At 45.0% G+C, this 24934-nt stretch overlaps 1 protein-coding gene and 1 long non-coding RNA gene across 27 annotated transcripts in view, besides 2 other annotated features; one reads left to right on the top strand and one right to left on the bottom strand.

Moving 5' to 3' along the window:
• ZHX2 (zinc fingers and homeoboxes 2) overlaps window positions 1-24934 on the top strand; it is a 194132-nt gene that overhangs the window by 114342 nt on the left and 54856 nt on the right. The window lies entirely within an intron of this gene.
• Window positions 1781-24422, bottom strand: LOC124902011 (uncharacterized). Its single transcript, XR_007061081.1, has 2 exons — window positions 5489-24422; window positions 1781-3733 (listed from the first exon to the last, which is right to left on the bottom strand). It is a non-coding gene; the product is annotated as an uncharacterized LOC124902011 (long non-coding RNA).
• Window positions 20828-21384: an enhancer, noted in NCBI's record as "OCT4-NANOG-H3K4me1 hESC enhancer chr8:123927788-123928344 (GRCh37/hg19 assembly coordinates)". NCBI's record gives its function as "activates a minimal SCP1, AML or CMV promoter by ChIP-STARR-seq in naive H9 embryonic stem cells {active_cell/tissue: H9 hESC(naive)}" and the evidence as "EXISTENCE:reporter gene assay evidence [ECO:0000049][PMID:30033119]".
• Window positions 24384-24783: an enhancer, noted in NCBI's record as "active region_27860". NCBI's record gives its function as "activates an Ori minimal core promoter by ATAC-STARR-seq in GM12878 lymphoblastoid cells {active_cell/tissue: GM12878}" and the evidence as "EXISTENCE:reporter gene assay evidence [ECO:0000049][PMID:35858748]".

Raw genomic sequence — 24934 nt, forward strand, 5'->3', positions numbered from 1 at the left:
CACCAACATGGCACATGTATATATATGTAACAAACCTGTACATTGTGCACATGTACCCTAAAACTTAAAGTACAATAAAAAATTTAAAAAAAATCCATCTTAGTATCTTGACCCCCACCCTTCACCCACTCACAGAGAAGCCCACATGAGGAAACAGGTTATGTCTTGGACATCTCTGTCCCCCTCAGTGTCTGGTATAGTGACTGACACACAGCATGTTCTCAAGAAATGTTTGAATCACAGTACATTGAATCAGTAACAGTCTGACTGACCCCCAGGCAGAAAATGCAGAGGCATTTTTTCTCTCTATTCCAGATTTCAGCTGTAGCCTCTTGTAATTCTCATATTGTTTTTCAATCACCAGAATTGATTTCCCTCATCCCTCTCCCCAGGGTCATCTCCAGTGAACTGTATTAAATTGCAATTAATGTTGACATTTGTTTTCCTCTTGCTCTCTCCCTTCTTTAAAGGGGGCACACGGGTGGTAGAAAATTGAAGAGCCAATAGTAATCACATCATAGGGGAGGTGTGAGCATTGGCAAGGGCATTTGCAATTAAATTAGGTGACACTTTTGCCAGTGGAGAAATGCACTTTCTGAGAAAGGAACACCAAGTGGGTGTTACTGGCTTAAGGCAAGCTGGCTTCTCTTCAGATGAGCTGCCAGGAGATGCTACTGCATGGCACAGGAAGAACGTGTGACCACTAGGATTATTTCCAGCATAATTGGCTTTGCATGGCTGAAGTTTTAGCAATGAATTTCTATAAGCCCTTTTAAAATTGGAATTCATAAACAAGTCTCTGTGCTCTCACCCTGTGGCACTTTTTTCTGCTCTTTTTGTTGTTTCATTGTTCTTCTCACTGCTACCTAGCTAGCATCCTGGTGTCATGGAAGTGGACCAGATATTTTCACACCCATTATATTCTAGATGCTGTGTTAAGATGCAGGACAACAAGGTAGATGTCATCCTTGCTCTTTAGACATCTGCAGTCTAAGACCCAGGCAATTTGGATATGGTGTGGGGAAAAAAAAAAAAAAAGCTCTCGCCAAGATAAGCATAGAAGAGAGGCATATTCTGCTATTGAACCATCAGAACCATGCAAAAAATCTCCCATTAGATTCTAGTACCCCCAGCCCTCCCACCTGCCAACCCAGACCCTTCCCAAAGAATAAGCTTTATTAAGAGTTTCAATCAGCTCACTCTTATTTTTTTTCTTTCTTGCAATCAGTGATTCATCAGCCTGCAATTCATTAGGATTACCATTATTGTTGATAATAGCACAGCTGGGCACTCTGTCTCAGCTAGGAGCTCTCTGCTGACAGGAGGGGCTGATGGCAAATGCAGAGGTGGGGAGTCCATCCTGCCTGAAGCTGGAATGCCTCAGAGGTGGAGGACTAAAAGAGGCCAAAGGAACCAACAGTCTAGATCCAAAGTCCCAAGTCCCATTGCTCTTCTGTTCTCCCTGGGCTGACTCTAGACCTTCCTATAGTTCCTTACTAGGACTCTTTTTTTTTTTTTTCTTAAGGGCATATTGTTTTTAAAAGGGATGAGCTCTTCTCTAGGAATTATTTTACTCCCTGCCCTCTTCTCCAGTTTGCTCCTGCAGAAAAATGAGCAAAGCAATACGTATTTCATGGAATTCTTGGGATGATGCAGCAGGATAATGAACATAAAAGCCTATGACACAATGATGGAAGTAACTGGCATTTTTGAGCGTCAGTTCTATGTTATGCATTGTGTATACCATATCTTATAAAATCTCTACAGAAACACTGTGAAGTAATTTTCATTTACATTTATTTATTCTTAAAAATATATTTATTGAGCATCTATTACATGTTCAATATGATGCAACATGCTAAGGCTCCAGCCATGAGCAAAACAGTTTTTCTCCTGACAAGGAACTTACATACTAGAAGCTGCTGTTATACCATTTAATAGACTAGGATACCAGGGTTCAGACACATTAAGTCACATAGCCACCTGTCTGGCTCTGAAGCCAGTCCCTGCTCTGCTGCCCTCTACCTCCCTGTGTTCCTGGTCTAAGCACAGTACTAGGTATGAAGGGAGCTTTGTAAATGTCTGAAGCTTTCTCAACCCTTGCTTGGTTGTGCTTAAACTTGGATATATGTCATCAGGGAAAGAACAGTGTCTGGGAATTAGATGAGAAATGTAGATGATGTGTCCAAACTCAGAAAAGTTGTTTAACTTTCAACAGCCTTAGTTCCTGTGGCCGTGAAATGGGGATAAATATACTATTAATACTTAAGGTTATGATGGATTTCCAGATACCTAGGGTATGGGAATGCACTTTAGAAACTGATGTCCTGAGCCTGAATGAGTTTTTCCTTGGCAACTTGATAGACCCTTGGTGTCTTGGGAGCCTGCTCAAATAGGAGCCTGGGCTTCCCCTGGCACTGAGCACTGGAGTCACTTCCAGATCATGAGAGGCAAAACAGCATGGTAGCTATGAACCATGTTAAAATTCCGGTGTCTCACACTTGCTAGTTATGTTACTAACCTCACTGTGCCTCAGTTTTGTCACCTATTAAATGGAAAGAAAAATAGTACCTACCTCATTGGGTTACCAGAATGAAATGATCTTTGGGGGATAACAGTAACCACCATGAGTTAGTGCTTTTGAGCACCATAGTTTCATTCTTAAGTTTCATTCAAAACCCTGCAATTCTAAGACATCACTGATGATTACATTTTTTTTGGTGTGAAAGTCAAGTCTAATTGTTTCTGGAGAACATTGTGTCCCACTGTTTGGTTTTGGATTTATCCCTTGCAGACTGAGAGGTTTTTGTTTTGTCTGTTTATCTTCTTAATGTAGTGTTTAGAAATTTAATGGAGCAATTTAGTTTCCATTTACTGAAGTAGATTATCAAAGGAAACAGGAACACTAAAGACTAGGTTAGCATCCCAGAGTATTGCCTCACATATGATGTGATTTTTCATGTTTTCCTGACAAAAAAAAAAAAAGAATGAGAGTTTCTATTTCCTTAAGCTGGTTCATGGCAAAGCCTCTTGCCTCTTGCCTCATGCCCAGTCAACTCTCTGGGTAACCAGATGGTTGGAAGTGGGGCTAAGAGGGTCACACAGGGACAAATCCCCACCCAGCGTGTCAGGACAGCTTTGTTCTTCTTGCCAGATGTGGTGGCCTAGATCGCTGAAAGCCCACATTTTTGGCTTAGAGGCCTCAAGCAGTATTGTTCAACTGGGAAACCAAAATTCATGAAGAGAAATCATGGTGGTCCGCTCCATTCGAGTGAATGAAACACTTCAGGACATTAAAATGGAAATCAGCAAGGTATGCTGACTGATTTGTCCACACCGTGAAAATAAGCCACCATTTATTCAGATCTCCACACATGTGACAATCCTTGCCTAGGTGCCTTGTAGTTTTTACAAAAAACCCATCTAACAGATGAGGAAACTTAACCTCATAGAGGTGAAGTGACTTGCCCAGGGTCACACAGCTATGAAGTTATTGAGTGGGGTCTTCTTTGTTCCAAAGCTCTTGTCATTTTGTTAAATCACCGGAAAGAAATTGGGGATGAGGAAAGAGTAGAAAAGCCTCAGGGAAAGTTGACGGTGATGATGGTGGTAGAGGTGGTGGTGGTGCGATTCATCAGTGGGAAATTGCTGTTCATCCTGATAGTGGTGGTATCATTAACTATCCATTTTCAGAAAAGGATCTGACAACCACTTAATAGGTACATATTCAACTCTGTTTAAAGAAATGAAAAAAAGGAGTGAAGTTTGCATGCCTAAATTTCCAAAGTCAGAGGCAGAACTAAGCCTAGTTCCCCCACTTCTAATTGTCTTCCCGTCTCCCCTTCATCCATCACAAGCTCCACATTTTAGGATTATTTTGCTTCAAGTCCAAATAGGAGCTAGTGATCCTAATATGTCTCGGCCACAGAAAAACACTAGCAGCTGATACTTATTAAGCACTCTTTGTGACCAGAATTGCTCTAAGCACTTACCTGTGTTAACTCATTAAAGCTTCACAATAATCCTCTGAGATAGATTCCATTATCATAACCATTTAATAGATAGGGAAACTGAGGTGCAGAGATGCTAAGCCAGTTGCTGAGGTCACTCTGCTGGAGAGTGGCGTGCTGGGATGCATGCCCAGGCAGGCCAGCCCCCAAGTCTGCCCTTCCCCACTTCACCTGTGGGCTCCTGCTGTTATTCAGCAGAACCCACTCCCGGCCTTGTTCTTCTGGTTGTAGCAGTGGTTTTGCACAGACTTGCCCAATACTCACTCACTGGAGCTTCTCACAACTTTTAGAAGTCCTGGTCTAGGGTTAGGGATTCAGTCAACAGCCATGGAACACCTATGCAGCAAATGTGTATTAAATCCCTCCTGGCCCAAGGCACTGAGCTGGACACTGTAAATCCAAGGCCTCATACAGGTACTCGTGAAATTCCAAGTTTCCTGAGGGCTGGAATGCATTTTCTATTTTTTTTCTAATCTCCCTCCTCAGAGCTACAACCCCCTCTAACTCCTACAAAGATCCTCTTACACCCTCTCTAGCTCTCCCACTTAATTTTTCTTCACAGCACTGGGAACATTTCCTCTCCCAGACATGTATTTTATCTGCCTTTCTTCCCCACTCCTACTCAGTCAGAGCAGGGCTTTGTTCTCAACACAGATCCTGCGTGGCTCATAGTAGGTGCTCAATAAATGCATATTAGTGGTCGAAGCTCAGACCTCATACTATCTTTTCAGTTGGAGCCAAACGGGATTGATTTACAATTGCACAAAAAGAGAAATATTTTAAATAACAAGCCCTTTGAGGCAATAGAAAAAGGTGTATCCATTGATGGCTACACTCAATACACCCCCTTTCCCAGATCTTTACCCCAAAGAGAAATGCCGTCATGAGTTTTTTGCTGCATTTGTCTTACCTGAGTCTAAGGGTATTGTGTCTTACCCTCCTCCTAACCCAATTCCACAGTCACACCTCACATCTCACTTGCTGATCTCCTGTCTTACATGGAAAATCAATGTATTTCAAGTAGGAAACAACTAATACAGAGAGGTTTCACCTGAGGTGGAAATTATGCAGGCAGTTTAATGCAAATTGGAGGGAAAAGCCAAAAATAAAGTGGTGTTAGCTAATACAAGCATGCTCATAATCTCATGCTACTGCTTTCCTCACTGGCTTTGTAGCAAGGTGGGCTGTGTGCAGAGCCCAGTTAAAACTCACATTATGTTGAGTTTAGGCGTTTTGGGAAAGGATGTAAATGGAAAGATGAACTGCTCACATTTATCCTGATTTTCAGCAGAGGCATTAATTTTTTTGTAGCTTTCATTTTATCACGCTTCTCCCTCTATTAATACTCCCCATCCCCAACCTATATAGGGCACTCTGGGAACAGGAGGATGATAATGGTGGCTTAGTCCATTTTGTGTTGCTATAAAGGAGTATCTGAGGTTAGGTAATTTATAAAGAAAAGAGGTTTATTTGCTCACAGTTCTGCAGGCTGTACAAGAAGCGTGGTGCCAGCATCTGCTTCTGGTGTGGACCTCAGGCTACTTACACTCATGGTGAAGGCCAAGGGAAGACTCATGTTGTGGGCAGAGATCACATGGTGAGGGAGAAAGCAAGAGAGTCAGGGAGATGCCAGGTTCTGTTTAACAACCAGCTTTTTGAGAATTAATAGAGTGAGACTCGCCCACGAGGGAGGACATTAATCTATTTATGAAAGATCTGACCCCATGACCCAAACACCTCCCCCTAGGCCCCTCCTCCAACCCCAGGGATCAGATTTCAACATGAGGTTTGGAGGGGTCAAATATCTAAACCATGGCAAATGGAAACCAGTTTCTAGTTGCAGTGACTTCTGCTCCTCACACGTGGGTTCTGATATCTGAGGCTCAGTGACATTCAATATACGTTGGCCCTTAATTTTGTCCTGGTGCTAGATTTAAGATGGTTGTTTTCCAAAGTTCATAAATGGGAGTTGGTGGGGCTGTCAATGAGGTCACATAGTACCACTGAGTATGCTCAAGCATGTGAGCATTTGCTAACTATATTATTCCTCCTCCAGGAAGCAGCAGGATTGCCATCCATTCCTGAACAAGAAGCTGTGAGATTCAAATGCAAAGCCATGTATGTCTGCCTTACAGAGCTTGCACTTACCATTAGTAGCACTCTCCTGGCACACTGCAGTTGCTTTGCCATAATATCCTGCTTCCCATGTGTTGCATATCAATTTTGTGTGGCGTGGGCAGATACTTTTTATTCTCATGGTAATATATTCTCAGGAGTATGAAGAAAAAATATAATTAGCTGATACCCAATAAATACAACTATGATTTATTGGGTATTGTTGCTTAGAAATACGTTAGAATTTACAAAGTGATTTGATTTTTTTAAATTATTAAGCAAAGAGTAATACACGTGGTATTTGTCTAGAGCGCAACTCATAATGGTGCTGTATAAATGATGGAAGTTGAAGAAATCATGCTAGAATGTGAGAATTTTTAGTTAACTTTTTAAAAACCACTATGCATATGGTCTGTCTACCACTACCCAACCTACCTCCCCTGCTTCTGGAAGAAAATGTCATTGTGCATCTGGATCACCTGGGGGTGTCCTAAAAATGCAGATCCCTCCTACTCTCCCCAAGAGAATCTGCTTCAGTGGTTTTGAGGTGAGGCCCAGAAATCTGCATTTTAATAAGCTCCCAAGCTGGGTTTCTAGGAGGAGGTTCTAAGACCTTACTTCTCAAAGCACTGTTTCAGAATGTGCTCCCAAACTAAGATGGTTCTTTGGCATGGAATGCTCACTTTCATTTTTCCCCTGGTGATCTTTGTTCTCTGGGAATCAAATCTCATAAAACCTAATTTAATTGTTGGGCAATGCTTCCTCTTTAAAACCACTTGTACGTGCAGATCTGGGGGCTGCTTGGCCAATCCAGATCTCTCAGCCTCAACATTACTGACATTTGGGGCCGGTTAGTTCTTTGTCATGATAGATTATCCTTGCATTGTACAATGTTTAGAAGTGTCCCTGGCCTCCACCTCCTAGATACTAGTAGCACTCATATCCCAACCCCCATCTTGTGACAATCAAAAATATCTCCAGACATTGCCAAATATCCCTTGTAAGGGGGAAAAAAAATCACCCAACATTGAGAACCACTAGGCTAAGCTGGATTAACTTTGAAAACTCAAGTCTCCAGATGTGAAAAATATGCTCCAGTAGAAATTATTCATAGCACTGTAGCCCTTGAATTTGTATTCTGCCTTTTTTTCAGAAGCCCCAGTCCTATGCTACGTGAAAAAAAAAAAGAATGTTTTATGAAGTTAGTAAAACAGAATAAGTAGCCTGCAGCCTAGCATAAACCTACTTTAGATGAGCTTGCACATTTGTCTTCATGGAATCGGAAAGTAACTGGAACAGATCAGGTGGCTAATGGGTCCTCCTCCTAGGGGACCATTCAACTGAACCAACATGTATTACAGCCTTACTCTGTGCTAGGTACTGCAGAAGCTGTTGAGGATACAAAAATGAGTAAGATTGAGTCTTCTCCCTCAAGAGGCTGAGATCTATTAGAAAAAGTCAGGCAAGTGCCCCAAAAGAGACAGCATGACATAATGGTTTTTAGTGACATTGCCTGGGTTCAAATCCTGGGTTCAAAAACAGCTGTGTGACTTTGAGCAAGTTGCATGACCTCTCTGTGCCTGTTTCCTCAGCTGTACATTGGGGATGGAAATAGTACCTACCTCAAGGAGTTGCTTGGAGAGTTGTACAAATTTATATACATAAGGACCTGAGGACAATGACTGGCACATAGAAAGGGCTATCTTACAAAGTCCAGTGCTGAAAATCAGACCTTGAGTCAGGAGACTTGGGTTCAAATCCCAGCTCTGCCTCTTCTGAGCTTGGGTAAGCAATGTAATCTCTTTGAGCTTCAAGTCCTTCATCCATGAGATGGGATGATCATAGTATTTACCCCATAGGATGATAAAATGAGATGATCTAGGAAATGCCTAGCCCAGTCTGATACATAGTACTGAATAATGTTTAATTATTGTTATTGCTATTGTAAATAGCTTTATGCCAACCAACCAAACTCATACCAGAGGCCTGTCTATTTGAAATGAAAAACAAGTCTGCCATGAGCCCAAACAGTTGCATCTTTGGGTCAGTTCCCTAACTGTACAGAGATGGTAATGGGAAGCTGGATTCCCAAGGCCTCCTGGGTGAGCACAGAATCCACTCGGGAGCTGGTGAGACTCATGTGCACAGGGCCTCAAACTGGGCATCCATTACCAGAGTGGGGCTCTTTCCATCTCTAGGACCCATGGGCCTTTCCCCAAGTCAGGACACTCCTCCTAGCTGGGTGACTGCTTCTCCTAGTCCTCTTCTAAACTTATTCCTTTTTTAGATATATTTATAACTTTGATTAGATTCTCCAAATTCTGCCTACTCTCCTGCTTCTTTCTTACTGGTGTTTAAGATAACTTTGCCCATAGCTAATCTTATCTTCTTGGCACTGGATTTCTGTTTAATTCTCAGAGTTCTGCCAAGAGATTCACACTGACAGGCAGGGGCCTTTAGTTATTCTTTCCAAAAGAGTATTTATCAGGTGCTCCTGTATGCTGTGAGACAAAGAAGTATCAAGCATGACCCAGTCCTTTAATGAGTTTAAAATAAATCTAACTGACCTTCAGTAATTACCAGTAAAAGGACCAAATCCTGAACTGGGTGTCCATTTCAGCTGGAAGGTATTATTGGAGAACGTGGGCATTGAGAAATGGGTCTTGTGTGCAGGGATGGAGTGAGCGGGGAGCAGACATGTCAGGCAGAAAATAAGCATCTGCCTACAAATGAAAGGGACCTCTGGGTGAAAAGAACACAGAGGCTAGAACTCTGAAGTGTCCATTGCTAGGCTAACAAGTTTGGGCTTTGGTCTACAGACAGTGTAGATTCATAAAAGACTTTGAAAGGGGAGTGGCGTGTTGTTCTGGTATCTCCTGATGTTGGCTTTCCTCCAAGACTAGAAAGATGAAACTGGTGTTGACACGGGGCAGGTAGATAGATGTATACAGGGATAGAGAGAAAATGGGAATGGTTAGAAATGGGGCTTCAGTAGGACTGGAAAGAGAGGGGAATGAATATTGCTAATATTGATGAACCACCACTTCCAAGAAAATGGAGTAAACACATTTTCTCTATTTCTCCCACTGAGTACAACTAAAAACCTTGGGCATTATTTATAAAACAAGCATAAGACCCTGAAAAGTGGAAGGAAGAAGGCAGACTAACTAGGGACCTCATAGCCCCAGGAATGACGTGGTGGTGAGTTCTCTGGGTTTTTGTTTCTTTTCTTTGTTTGGCTTGGTTCGTTTTGCCTTATATATCCTAGACTTAGAGCTGAAGAGGCCATCAACCACAAATGCTAAGGGGCCCAGAACCCTCCCAACAAAAGCCCCCCCAAAAAAGTCTGCTGTCTCTAGCCAAAGAATCAGGAAAGGGGCAGCCTGGCAAAGCCAAAAACTTTTAGACAGTAACTGCTCTGCTGTAGCCAAAGGTCACAGAAAAAACTGTGGTCCAGCCCCTGCTCCACCAGCAAAAGCCAAATGCAGAGCCTAGAATTCCACCCTCACCACGTTATAGCAAGCCTCCCCAGTCTCCCCCTTCTTTACAGCAGGGTGGTGTCAGAGAAGGCCAAGTGGGGAGTAGACTTTCATGACCCCACGAAATGGTAACCTGGCCTTATCCACTCCCTTAGTGTCAGTTAAGATCGTGTGGGAGCCGTAGCAAGACACTCCTGACTCCTCCCAGTCAGAGAGAGGTATCAATGGAGGCCTTGTCAGGAGCTGGAACTCCCATCACTGCACAGTAATGAGAAGGCTCCCCCTCAAGTGTCAAGGCCAAATGGAGAACCTGGACCCCTACTTAGTAATAATGAGGTGGCATAAACCCCCTACCCATGTTGGAGCAGTGTCAGAGAAAGCTAGCTAAAACAGAAAGTTTAGATAAGATCCAAAATCTTATAACCAGGTTTCAGTTTTCAAAATCACTCATACCAAGAACAAGGAAGATCTCAAAATGAACGATTAAAGACAATAGATGATAAAACTGAGATGCTACAGAAGTTAAAATTTTACAGATTATAAAGCAGCCATCATAAAAATGTTTCAATAAGCAAATATAAACATGCTTCAAACAATAAAAAATAGAAATTCTCAGCAAATAAACGACATAACCATATGGAAATTTTAGAATTGAAAAATACAGTAACTGAAATTAAAAACTCACTGGATGACCTCAACATCAGAGCCAGTGGGCCAGAGGAAAGAATCAGTGAACTTCAAGATAGAATATTAGAAATAACCCAGTCTGAACAACAGAGAGAAAATAGACTGGAAAAACAAGAACCACTCGAAGAAATAATGGCTTAAAACTTTCCAAATTTGCCATAAACCTACAGATTCAAGAAGCTGGGTGAACCCCATACAGGATGAATCCAAATAAATTTACAATAAGACACATCATACTCAAATGTTTGAAAACCAAAGACAGCCTTTAAAATCACTGAGACAGAAACAGCCACTAATGAGAAATGCAGTATGCACAGCACCAGATTTCTAATCAGAAACCATGAAGGCCAGAAGGAAATGGCACAACATTTTTTTTAAAAACTGTCAACCCAGAATCCTATATCCATCAAAAACTATATTTCAGGAATGAAGGGGTAGTCAAGACATTATCAGATGAAGCAAAGCTAAGAGGATTTTTAGCCAACAGCTCTGCTATAAAACAATGGCTAAGAAAATTCTCTAAACAGAAAGGAAATGATAGAAGGATTCTTAGAACATCAGGAAGGAAAGAAGAATATGAGGCTGTTTCCTATTCTGTTGCCAAAACAAAAGCAGAGGATGAGAATTTTGAAAAAGGAAAACAGTCTGAGTCTCAAGAAGCCTATGAGAAGGAAGAGAGGAATGACTTGGTCATGCCCATGACAGAAAAGTGGCTTAGGGATGTAATGAGAGAATACAATATGTAGATGATACACTAGAATTCTTGTCCTTTGAATTAGTATTGGGTTGGCGCAAACATGATTGTATTTTTGCCATTGAAAGTAAGGCAAAAACTGCGATTGCTTTTGCACTAACCTAATAGAATAAAATCATTTGAGCTAGAACAGAAATGCTAGGCCACCCAGCTTCCTCCCTTTTTTATATCAAGCTACATTTGCACAGCTTCTCTTAGATAGTTTTATTTACTTTATGCCATGTAGTTTCCTGCAAGAACAGAGCCTCAATTAGGGAATGAGTTAGAAAATGTGGAAAAGTAATATCAATCAGTTCAAAAGTACCTATCTAAACCCAATTTCAATATTGGATTAAGCAATTATTATAAACCCCAAACTATGGAAAATAATTTGTTTTCATAATGGTCAAAGATTGAGACATACTTAACTCTAATAGCTATTTTTTTGAAATGAATATTTGCTATAGAAATTGAATTGAGGCTGTCAATTAAACAAAACTATAAAATAAGGCTAAAAGTAATAGCTGATGTTTATGAGAGTTTACATCTCAAGGATCTATTACATTTAAAATGACATTTGGTACGAATCTATGAGAAATCGGAGATAACCTGTGAGTCCATCAGTAGGGGAATGGCTTATGCTACATTGAGACAATGAAATCTGTTCAAGAGGATAAGCAACTCTGTATGTGTTGATGGGGAATCGTAGCTGCGACACATGGTTGAGTGAATAAAGCAAGTCATGAATAATGCATCTAGTGCCATCCCTTTGTGAAAAATAAACTGCATATGTAGGTGTGTTTATGCATGGGAAAAGCTTATACATTAAACTGTTAAAAGCAGTTACTTCTGGGGATTGGAAATAGAGAAGCAGAGATGGGAGATACTTTTACTTTAAACACTTCTGTATCACATAATTTCCTTTTTTTTTTTTTTTTTTTTTTGAGACAGAGTCTTGCTCTGTCACCCAGGCTGGAGTACAGTAGGGCTATCTCAGCTCACTGCAACTTCCTCCTCCAGGGTTTAAGTGATTCTACTGCCTCAGCCTCCTGAGTAGCTGGGATTACAGGCGCACACCACCACGCCCGGGTAATTTTTGTATTTTTAGTAGAGACAGGGTTTCACCATGTTGGCCAGGCTGGTCTTGAACTCCTCACCTCAAGTGATCTGCCCACCTCAGCCTCCCAAAGTGCTGGGATTACAGGCATGAGCCGCCATACTCGGCTATAATTTTCATAAAAGTCATATGCAGCTTGTGAAATTAAAAAATTTAAGTGGTTTCGACTTAAAGGTGACAGAGCAGAAAGGCCTATTCGATCGCAGTGGTCAATCATCAAGTTGCATAAACCCACCTGAGCCTTAGTTTCCTCATGTGAACCTAGAAAATCTGAGTTCTGTTAATTTAGAAAGTTAATTTTGCCAAGGTTGAGGCAAAACTTTCCTCAACCTTTTGACAGCCTCAGGAAGTCCTGATGACATGTGCCTAAGGTGGTTGGGGCACAGCTTGATTTTATACATTTTAGGGAGACATGAGACATCAATCAGCATATGTAAGAAGTACATTGGTTCGGTCTAGAAAGGCGGGACATCTTGAAGCAAGGGCAGGAAGACTCCAAGCGGGAGGGAGCATCCAGGCCACAGATAGGTGAGACACAAATGGTTACATCCTTTTGAGTCTCTGATTAGCCTTTCCAAAGGAGGCAATCAGATATGCATCTATCTCAGTGAGCGGAGGGGTGACTTTGAATAGAATGGGAGGCAGGTTTGCCCTAAGCAGTTTCCAGCTTGAGTTTTCCTTAGTGATTTGGGGGGCCCAAAATATTTTCCCTTCACATTCAAAATGAGAAACCTCCCAGAGGTATTGGACAAATGAAACTGGTAAAGCTGCTTCCAAAGTGCCCAATCAGCATGAAGTCAGTGCTGCCCTAGCCTCTGTTTGAATGTCCAGAGCTCCTGAGTTAGGTCAGAGGATGTTTTCCCATCTATAAAATGGCTAATGACACTGCCTCATCAGAGCATTGTGAGGATTAAATGAGATCAAAGATGCACCAAGTACCTGGATCTCTCAGAAGTGGTAGTGATATTAGTGTCTTTAGGCCACTCCCAGCCCAGCACCAGGTTCATGTTAGGCACTACAGTAGGGGTTTTTTTGTTAATCTGAACTGAACTGATTCCAATGCCTATTGCTGCATTTTCCAAATATGTGATCTCCAGACAGTTTAGAGGTTTGCCTTGGATAACATAATATAATGAGAGGGTAACCAGCAAAAGACAGAAGACCTGCGTACATCCTTGCCCTGTGCCTCTAAGTCAGTTCACAGGGCTGTGTGTTCTCCGTGGATGAAATTGGAATGACAATCCTCGCCCCGCCCAACCCAAAATCTCACAAGGCTGTTGTGAGCACAAATGGAAGGGTGAGAGTTGGAGCATTGTGTCAACTGTAAAGTCCTTGGTTTGTTTGTTTGTTTGTTTTGAAATGGAGTTTCGTTCTTGTTGCCCAAACTGGAGTGCAATGTGTGATCTCAGCTCACTGCAACCTCCGCCTCCCGAGTTCAAGAGATTCTCCTGCCTCAGCCTTACAAGTAGCTGGGATTACAGGCGTGTGCCACCATGCCTGGCCAATTTGTTTTTTATTTTTTATTTTTAGTAGAGACGGGGTTTCACCATGTTGGCCAGGCTGGTCTGGAACTCCTGACCTCAGATGTTCCACCCACCTCGGCCTCCCAAAATGCTGGGATTACAGGCATGAGCCACTGTGCCTGGCCTAAAGTCCTTGTTTTACATGGACCACGGTGGTGGTTGATCATCAAGTTGCTTAACCTCATCCGAGCCTATAGTGGTCCTTGTTTCCATAGCATAGAAAACCCTTGTTATCACTGTCTCCCCTTTAGTTTGACCTGAAACTGTAACAAATATCTTTCTCATGCCCACTCAGCATCCAGGCATCAGAGACAGGCTCCACAATTAATTTTTCAGCGTACTGAAAAAACACTTGCCAGTGAACGACTGTGGCTAGGGTAAGAATGATGAAGTGAGAAGGCAAAGGGAAGACTTGCTTGCACCTTCCAAAAAAGAAGGTGGTTCTTTTTCAAAAGTAGATGTTGGCTTCGGCTCTGAGCACACTTCCCAGGCTACCTGAGCTCCATGGGCAGCTGGAAACTTGCCCTGCCCCAGGGGCTGGTGGATACATTACCTTTTCAAGTTTCCCTTGTGATTTCCTCCCTTCCATCACCACCAGTTAGTTCTAACTTGTTCTATAATTTAGAACTTCTACCAGGTTCCAGAAATCTGTGGTGAGGCACTGAGACAATGGAGGTTAGAACTCAAACACATGGTGGCTTAAATAAAGATCATCTGATTTGGGTGTAGTAGCTAAGAAGAGTTAGCTTTGGTTTTAAAAAGTGGGCCAGGCGCGTTGGCTCATGCCTGTAATCCCAGCAGTTTGGGAGATCGAGGTGGGTGGATCACTTGAGGTCAGGAGTTCAAGACCAGCTTGGCCCACAGGGTGAAACCCCCGTCTCTACTAAAAATACAAAAAATTAGCCAGGCATGGTGGTGCATGCCTGTAGTCCCAGCTACTAAGGAGGCTGAGGCAGGAGAATGGCTTGAACCCAGGAGGTGGAGGTTGCAGTGAATAAAGATCGTGCCACTGCACTCCAGCCTGGGTGACAGAGCAAGAATCTGTCTCAAAAAGAAAAAAAAAAAAAAGTGGGGCAGGCGTTAGGGGACAACTTTGTGAATACTCGTTGCTCTTTAATTTTTAGAGTTTGCATCCCTGGAGGTTCCTAAAAATAGACAAAACACCCAACACTCTTATTCACTCGCCTTGGGGCTGGACAGATAATCCCCTCCTCCTCCTCTCCCCCCCACAACCTGTTCCTCCTGATTCTCTCTCACTCAAGCAGAAACCTGGGAGGTGCCAGGGCGTGGTATTCACACTGGCTTCCACATTCACTCCAGCCTCCGGAGTGATCCTGATCTTCTGCACTCCATCCCCACTGCTGCTGTCCTGTGGGCTGCATCTCACACCTGGCCTCTTCCGGAAGTCTTGGGCTTCACTCCCTCCCATCCATCTTGCAGCCTGCAGCCAGGGCAATCCTGGAAGGCAGGGGTCTCCCCATGCTTCTTGCCCGCCTAAAACCCTGCCTTCATTGGCTGCCCCAGGAGCCCAGGTTGCCCAGTTGCCCCTCCCACCAGCTTACCTCTCACTGGAAGGGCAGCCTCTCAGAAAAGATTTGCTCTCACTTCCCTTAAACACACCATGCCCCTGAGCCTCTGCTGTTCTGTCTACTCAGACATCCTCCTTCCCTCTCTTGTCCACCCAGTAAACCTCTGCTTGCTTCTCAGAGCCCAGCTCAGGAATCTCTTCCTCCGAGAAATCAAAGTAGGGAAAAAAAAAAAATCAGAGCTGGACAAAAGACTAGAGGGACCTAGTAATAATCATAATGACTTTCTTAGATTCAGGGCACTGCCCCGGGCACATCGCATTACCTTATTCAGTCCCCACTATGACTCTAAAAGTAGGTCTCGGCATTATCTTGGTTTTGCAGATGAGGACACAGGACTTGAGAGTTCAGTGACATGCCCCAAAACACAGCCAATTCATTGTAGAATTGTGATGGAAGCTTAAGTTCACCTGATGGAGGTTTGCATTTTTGTCAGCTGCAACATCCTGCTGGCTAATGCAGTGTTTCTCAAACTGCCAGTCATGATGTATCCGTGAGTTGTGAAATCGGTTTAGCAGGCAGGGCTGGCTGCATGATGTGTGGGGCTCAGTGCAAAATGAAGATGCAGGACCCCTGTTCAAAAGGCAGGCAAAAGGCTTCTTCCTTTCTTTGGCAGTCTCTCAGCTTGTTGTGGCATTTTTTATGCGTACTTTAATGTCATACTCCCTCAGGCACGGGGTTACTGGTGGGGCAGTACGGACCAACCCTCACCCTGGAGGCTTGCCCAATCGAGACCCTTCCCCAGCCAGTGTGCAGGCCCCTGCTGGGGGGTGGGGGGTGGGGGGTGAGGAATACAGCCACTGACACTAACCAGGGGCAAGGGAATGGGATCAGTGGCCCAGAACCCAGGAAGTGGGGCCATGCATCCCGTCAAGACCTCACTTACGAAGCACAAATTCAAACAAAAAACGATTAAGAATTTCAAGATGGTGACCACAAAGCATTAAACCCCAGGCATGGGGCCCCTTCCAGAACATCACTCCTGCCCACTGTATCGGCTACATGTTCCTGTTATAAGTCATGACAAGAAGTGGTTTCAAACTGGAATAGAAAACAATAGGAGGTGTTGTAATACACCCTGCATAGTGAAAGCAAGTATGACTTTGTCCACTTGGGGGTTTGTACATCGGTCTACACACACGCAGGATGGCCTCATAAAACATACTTCTCACTGTGGGTCTCAGAAACCTCTGAAAACCAGCAGGGCAGCCCCGTAGTCCTGTTGGGCCACTGGTAGGATCTCTGCCACTTTATAGCTGTTCGTCTTCCCTGGTGGTTCCCGGGGGTGGAAGGGGGCTTTGCCAAGATGAGGGTGGGGGTGGGAGTGAAAGTGAAGTGGGTGGAGTTGCGTGGGGCCAGCAGGCAGCCTCCTGTCTTCTCAGCCCCTCCCTGTCCTGCAGAGGCCTTCACACCCTCTTCCCCCATCATCAAGTGTGCCTGCCCCCTGCTTCCCCTTCTCTCCTCCCCTCTACTTTCCACCTGGGGCCGGGGCAGGAGGGGAGACTGCTCTACAAAGAGAGGCACAGAGACCCTGGTTTCATGGGAAGGGAAGAGCTGCCACCAGCCAGAGTGGAAGCATAAAGGGAAGAGACAAAGAAATATTAGTGGGACTATTTTCCTAAACAAATGTTTATTGAGGGTCTCCTCTGTGCCAAGCTATGTGCTGAGCCCTGGGGACACAGCAGTGTACAAGAAGGACCGAGGTTTCATCCTCATAGCACTCACAGGATAGTGGGGGAGACAGGCCTAAGCAAATAATCATAAATAGACCATGGCAGGAAAAACACACAGAGCTACGAGCCTATGTGGTGGGACTTACCCTCATCTGGAATGATCAGAGCAGGCTTCCATGAAGATGGTACATTTCAGCTGACTCCTGAGAGATGAGAGGGGTTGCAGGTAAGCTTTGGGGTGGGCTGGAGGGTGGGAGTGAGCCACCTTTTAGAGGCGGGGAATGGCTCCCCTAAGGCTCTGAGGCCTGGAGGGGACACACGCGCTTGAGCAGCTGCCCCCTGGAATCCCTGGCTAAGGCTCTGGGGGCCCAGATAAGAAAAGGAGAAAGAGACAGGCACTCAGGGTTCTAAGTTTCTGGTGGCCTGAAAGACTTTCCCCACATTTTTGCAAACTGGGTTCATGAAGATGGTGGCGGGGCTTCCAGTGGTCATAACCTTGACCCTTACCCCACTGGATGTTTTGCCAATGTCATGCTTTTCCAGTGTGTTGCTGCTAACACATAGCACAGACTCAGAGAGAGAGTCAACCCTGAAGGGCAGTGGCAGAAACGGCCTGGGAGAGCCTTTTCAATGCCTCTCCAGACAAAAAGAAAATACCATCTGTCATGTCCACCAGCCACAGGCTGGCCTGGGCACTGGGTGCTCTGGGCAGCACGAGCATGGCCTTTCAAAGCAGCTCCTCACAGCCCCACCAATGGCATCATGTAGGCTGCTCTATGTGACGCCTTGGCCATTCCCTCCAAGATGGACATGTAATAGGAGGTGGGAGGTGGGAGGTGGGTGACTAAGGAACAGAACCCCTAGTAGCACAGATCCTCCTTCAGAAGCCTCGTCTATGGCACTGAGCCACACATCCAGAAAACTGCCCTTTAGACAGCACTTATATTCTGAGACCCTGCCGAGCACCTTAAATGCCTGGTCTCCTAATCAGCAGCCCTTTGCAGAAGGCATTTTAATCTCCATTTTACAGATGCTAAAACTGAGGCTTAAAGAACCTAAGTGGCTTTCTCAAGGCCACATACTGATTTGTTAGCAAATACTTAAGCACCTACTATGTCCCAGGTACTCAGAATACACTGAGGGGCAAAGCAAAGGGTTCTTTGCTGTGGTAACCCTAGGAGCAACCAAGAAGAGGTAGGAATTTAGATTTAAGAAAAAGAAAAACAGCTTTATTGGGGCATAATTCACATACCATATAATTCATCCATTGAAGGTTTACCGTTCAGTGGTTTTTAATATATTCAGAGTCATGCGACCATCACCATAATTTTAGAACATTCTTATCACCCCAAAAAGAAACCCTATACCCATTGGCAGTTACTAGTTTGTTCCCTCCAAACTGCCCTGCCTCCAGTCAGCTCTAGGCGACCACTCATCTATTTCTGCCTCTATAGACTTCATATGAAGGGAATCATAGAATAAGTGGTCTTTCATGACTGGCTTATTTCACTTAGCGTAGTGGTTTTAAGGTTTATACATGTTGTAAGCATGTATCATCAATACTTCATTCTTTTTTGATGCCAAAGAAGATTCCATTGTATGGGTAAGACCACATTTAGTTTAGCCATGCATCTGTTAATGAACATTTCCACTTTTCGACTATCATAAATAGTGCTGCTATGAACACTTATGTACAGGTTTTCGCATGGTAGGAACCCAGATTTCAACTCAATTTTACCCTACTCCAAAGCCTAACCACTCTACTCCTCAGCAGCTTCCATGCCCCTAAAAATAATTTCTTCCAAGGAGCCTGCCAACCTTGAACCTAGCCATGTTTGGAAGGAAAGAAGCCATGATCACATGCCATGGCCTTAGTCGAGCCTGGTAAACTTATTGGCAGGTGGGACTCTCCCTCTGAGGCCTGTGGAATGGGGCAGTAGGGAAGTTCTCCAGCATTTGTGTTGCTCCTCATGACAGGGACAGGCAAAGAACAAAGGCTGAGGCCTTCTGTCTTGAGCAACCCTAAACTCAGGGGATTCAGGGGCTCATTTAGAAGTTTGGGCACCATCAGCAATGGAGTTTAAATATGACACCCTCCTTGACCACAGAGCACATGTTTCACGTTACTTATGGCTCTTTCCTGAGCCAGTGACCCCCTTACTTGGTCCTCTCTTATGACAAAGGAAGGGTTATGACACCATCAATTGTTGATAGAGAGGGGGATGTGTACCCATAGCCCAAGCCACCAAGTCATGGGTGAATCCATCCTATAACAATGGCCTTCATGAGAGCAGCTAGCTCCTGGGGCAAGCCTTTTCTGATCTCCACCCCCATAGACTCTATATGCTCTCTTCTCTAGTAATTTTCCACTCCCTTTGTTCACAGAACTTAAGCCATTGTCTCATCTCTGTCTGAGTTTTTATCTACCTCCCTCCTCCTGGAACCCCAAGAGAAAAGATCGCCTGTCGTCATATTCCAAGTACCTAGCACAGTCCTTGGCACTGGGGAGGTGCTCAGAGAAGTCTGTAGAAGGAAGCAGGCAAGCCAGCAAGCTATGCTAGGGAGCAGCTGCTCTCATCCTGCTGCCTGATCCTGGCAGCCCATGCTCTGCCAGGCAGCCTGAGTGGAGATGGCCATGTGTACTAAGCCAGAAGGGACAGAGAAGCACTGAAGGCACTTGAGTCCCATAAGCCCAGGTCACCGTAACCACAAATGGTGAAGTGGGGGGAGAAAGGGGCACAGTGGGCAGGAGCCAGAGCAGATGGCATTTGCCTTCGACTGACAAAGCACAAGGGCCCTTTCGGTTATTTCTCAGCCACGCCTCCAGGCCCCATTTCAGCCCTGGCCTAGTTTCAATCTCATTACCCGGTGCTGCCAGAACAAAATGCTCGCCCTGTCCCTGGTTCCCAAGACCTGCCCCTTCAGGCCCATCACTTGGCATTTTACCACTTCCCAGATTCGCCACTTATCAAAACCCAAACTAATTAAAACTCGCAACCAATTTTCTTTCTTTATTCAACAGTGGACTTCTATTTGCTAATAAATCTCATGCGCTCATTCAGACACTTCCATCAGTTCCTGGAAACGTGCTTTTCTCTTTATTACTTTGTTATCTGAGCTTTTTCATCTCCTTCTTGGACTTTTCTGATGTTCAGGGTCTGTATCTGTAATTGAGTCGTTCCTAGAGGTTTAAACTGCTTGGGGTGGCATGTCTCACTCTTTAAGATTGTTCCTGCTGCATTCAATATTTTAATGTTATTCCCAAATGGGAGCATCTTGCCTTCCTTCTTTGCCATCACCAAACCTCAGTCTAGGCTGCATCTGTTACGTCTAGTTCCTACAGCCATTACAAGGCATGCTGTGGCCCTCCACCCCTCCTGGTGACTTTCAGCAGCAATGGTGCACTCTCCTTTCTTGGGATAGCTGTTATCATCTTGGAGTTCTAGGGGGCTGGAGCTGAGGGACCTGAGAGATCATCCCATCCAATCCCTGAGCTTTACAGGTAATGCAGTGAAGACCCAGAGCAGGAAGGGGCCATACAGCTGTGAGTGACAACACTAGAAGGAGTATCTGAGGCTCCTGATGCCCCTTCAAAGGCCTTTACCATGTGGATGCCTTCCCAGAGTTAGAATGGATAGAAGGGCCTGAGATCTTATGAACATGGCCCTGTCATGCTATAAGAGTGGATGTCCCTTTATCCCATCCTGCAGCTGCTCCCTCCCACTTAACTCTGCTGCCTGTGGACTCTCCCACCATCTTGGTGTCTCACAACCCCAATGGACAGTGTGTTCCCTTTAAACTGGGAGATCTCTCTGAGTACCTCTTCTAGATCATTTATGGGAAATAGTAAATAAATAGTAAGAAATTTGTTAGAGGTCCTGTCCTGATCCTTTGGGGATTTCATGTGGAAAATCGTTCATCTCTTTCTGCTTTTGATTCCTTGGCTTCACGCTGCAAGAAAACATTTCCTCCTTCAGTTATGGGTGATTAATAGGACCACATCCAGGCTTTGGGTTCTAGCAGCATTGTGAAATTTCTCAGGAGAGCAAGAAAAAGCAGAAAAGGCTCCATGTTGCGTGTCTCATTTGCAACAGACTTGTTCTTTGCTCATTTCTGGTGGAGTCTTATTTTGTGATGGCAATGGGAAAGGATTTGTTTGTGGTGCTGGGAACTCTTCCCCACCGCACAGTGGTCTGAAGACCAAAGAAAGTGATAAATAATGTTTTGCAGGCAAGGAAAGAGGGTGATGGTGCTTTAGCTCTCCAGCTCTTCCTAAAGGCGCATTCCAGGCCCAGGGCTTTGGTGGCTGTCTTCCTCCCCCTTCCTGCAGCCCAAGGAACACAGAGCCAGCAGACTCTAGTTCCCGGGCCATCTCTCACCCAAGTCCAGGCACCTGGGGGAAGGGCAGATGGGCCTCTTGCCTCAGTGGGTTTCAACGGCCTGCCTTGAAGTGCAAATGGCAGGTGTTGGCTCCTCCGTGCCTTTCAGAGCATCCGCCTGGCTCTTTTATGAGATTACAGACGCTTTCATCTCAGCTTTGGCCCGGATTTCCTCCTTCCCAGCAAGGCTCCAAAGACTGGCAACGAGGCGAGAACAAGAAGAGGAGGCTCATTCCTGGCTGCATCCCTGCTGGGCAGGGTGACCCGGCCTGCACATCTTCCAGCCGCATCCTTTTGAGCCATCGAGGCTGAGAAGGGAGCACAGAGGACCAGGTTAAGAGGGGCCCTTCCCCTTGGCGCCTGGAGGAAGTTGCATTGCATCCTGGGAACGCTCTGATCATCCCCTTTGCTTTGTGCCTTTCACTTCAATCCAGTGGAGAGGGGCTTCGGTGCCTTTCTTTTTCTTTTTCTTTTTCTTTTTTTCTACCTAGAGGTACTTTTTTGAGGCTCGAGACTGAGAACGTAACACATCTCTTGCACTTTTGCTTTATGTGTATGTGTACACACACACCCTCAGTTCTTTGCTGTACTTGCTCACCGTCTTGCTCTTCAGGTTTCCTTTTCTTTAAAAGCCCAAGTAGTTTCCTTCCCATATTGTTCTCAGTGAAAGAAAAAGGAGCGTCTCTTCTCTCCTAAATCCTAATTCCTTCCTTCCATCCATCCTATCGTTTAACCTTTTCTTCCAGAGCCAGGACTTTGTGTCTGCTCCTAACATCCACATCCCTTCCAGATCTGTCTCCACACTCCCCACCCCTTCTGGCTTCGTCTCCTGCCACTGTCTCCTGACCTCCATCCACCCCAAATCCACACCCTTCCCTGACCCAGCCTTCCTTTTCATGCCTCTGTTCTTTTGCTCATGCATTTCTCCTGATTTTCAAGACCCACATTCACAACTGTGCCTGGCTCAACTCTTATCTCTGTGAAACCCTCCAGCACCTCTGTCCCCAGTCCCCCCCACCAGGCAGCCAGTGACGTCCTCCCTGTCATCCAGCGCATTCATCCCACGCAGTGTTATAATTATGACCTGCGTTTCTCAGGGCTCCCAGCCTTGGGCTCCAAGTTGGGTCACTGTGCAGGAGGTTTTGTCTCCACCTACTGTGGCGTGGCCTCCAAGCGGATCACAGTCAGCCCCCTAACTATTTCTGGGAGTCCTCAGGGAGCATTGCAGGTGTTCTTCACTCTAAAAAGGCACCGAGAAACCATTTCCTGCCCCTGCCAGAGTTGGGAGTCCTGGCCCTGTCCCCATGAGACCACACAGCATCTACATTATGATCTGCCAGAACCCCTGACCCACCACAATGTCCTCCATCCCCACCACACCCAAGCCCACAGTGGATTCTGCAACCATGAGAATCCCTCTCCCCAAACCCTCATCTCTCCCCACCCCATGTTACTTTCTACCATGGAGCCCTAGCAGTGCTGCCTCACACAGTGATTTTTATTGAGACAACCCTGTCCAATTATACTTGTCCCATCCTCTTGAAATCAGACATAGATCTTTGAAACCTAGGCCAAAGGATGACCTGATGAAGATCAGGCATAAGGCCGCAGTCAGAACTGCATTTCTGTCTGATGACTAACATGGTCTTCTTAAGTCAGGGTATGTGCCTTCCTAAGGATGAGTTACTTCCCCCAAAACCCCTTGGGCCTTGGAATTTAAAAAATCACTATCAAGCCTGTGTTGCCAAAATTCCAAATGTGCCGTGACATGTCTGGATCCTAAAACAAACAGAATATAGGCTACAGAGGCACACACACCACCACTGTGCATTCCTCACCCACAGCAGACATCACCAGTCAATCACAGCATAGGTTCTCCTAGTAAGGCCATCAGGATTCTTCTCAACACACTGCAGACCTCACCTCTACTCTGAAGGCTTTCTGGATCCTCTTGATAGAAATGATTCCACTCTTTTCTTACCTTTCATAGCCCTCAAGACTCTGCTACTCTTGTCTGGGCTCATCTAGATTGTAGTAATAAGACTAATGGCTAATCTTTACTGAGCTCTCACTTTGACCCAGGCACCATTCTAAGTGCCTCTTATTAAACTTATTTAATCCTCACAGTCATGTGAACTAAGTACCAATCCCATGTGACAGATGAAAAAACTGAGACACAGGAATTACACTGTTCCAAGTCAGAGACTGTGTCCCGACCGCCTTTGTCATTCCAATCGTTCAACATTTTTATTAGGCACCCATGTGTGCCAGGCACTGCAATAGGCCTTGAGGACGAAATCCAGATCCCCAGAACCTCTGCCTCCCCAGCAAATTGGGCAAAGCTGTTTTGCTTCCCAGAAAACGAGAACTTTAATCCTGGCTTCCAAGTCCCAGGGTGTCTGCCTCCTTGCCACAGCCACCACCCTCAGTGCCTTACCCATCTCGCCTTTGCCTTGCCCCTCATCCCACTTCTGTTGCACTTCTCACCTCGTCTTTGGAGGAGACCATGGTTGATTCAGACTTCTTGGCCAAGACATATTTTAGGCTGTGCAGGCCAGGTCTTTGTGGCAACTACTTAATTCTGCTGTTGAAGCATGAAAGCATTCATGGGCATGGCTGTGTCTCAATAAAACTTTCTTTACGTCCGGGCGCGGTGGCTCACACCTGTAATCCCAGCACTTTGGGAGGCCGAGGCATGTGGATCACAAGGTCAGGAGATCAAGACCATCCTGGCCAAAATGGTGAAACCCCATCTCTACTAAAAATACAAAAATGAGCTGGGCATGGTGGCAGCATGCACCTGTAGTCCCAGCTACTCAGGAGGCTGAGGCAGGAGAATTGCTTGAACCTGGGAGATGGAGGTTGCAGTGAGCCGAGATCACGCCACTACACTCCAGACTGGTGACCGAGCAAGACTCCACCTCAAAAAAAAAAAAAAAAACTTTATTTACAAAAACAGGAGACAGGCCATAGTTTGCCAACCCCTGTCCCAAACTGTTCTCCCACCTGGAATATGCTTCCTCCACTCTCATTTTGTAACATCTGTTGCTTCCTGGCCTTTGAGGCTCAGCGGTAGTCTCACTTAGCCAGGCAAGCCTTCCTCCCCAACCCCACCATCAGCACAGCACTTGCTAATCTCTCGCTTCATCCAGTTCTTCTTTCACTTTCATTTTGCATCTCTTACTCATCTCTTCCTCCTTCAATGGTTAGCTCCTTGAGGTGTGCAGCTTAAGTTTTTTCTTATGTACATTAGCTGTAGCCATGTGCTGGATTCATAATCGGTGCACAGTAGATGACAGACAGTTTTGAAGATTTGTTTGATTGCAACGTCTGGGGAAGGGAGTGGTTCTCAGTCTATTTTTTCTGCTCCAACACATGGTGGGGAGCGTGACCGTCATTCATTCCTCATGTATTTATTGCGTACTCACTACATACTAAGTACTCCTTTTGTTTGCTTGTTTTTTAATCAATCATGTGCTAGCTTCAAGCTGTTACCAGCACAAATGTGTGATGGTACCACTCTTGCAAACCAATGGATTAAGATATAAAGGAAATTTTCAAAGATGACAGGGCTGTGGTAATTACTAGTCAAGCTGTATCTGCAAATGTATAAAGTACTTCTGCATCTATTG

The sequence above is a fragment of the Homo sapiens genome, chromosome 8 (genome assembly GCF_000001405.40).
Source record: "Homo sapiens chromosome 8, GRCh38.p14 Primary Assembly".
In the NCBI taxonomy this organism is placed as follows: domain Eukaryota; kingdom Metazoa; phylum Chordata; class Mammalia; order Primates; family Hominidae; genus Homo; species Homo sapiens.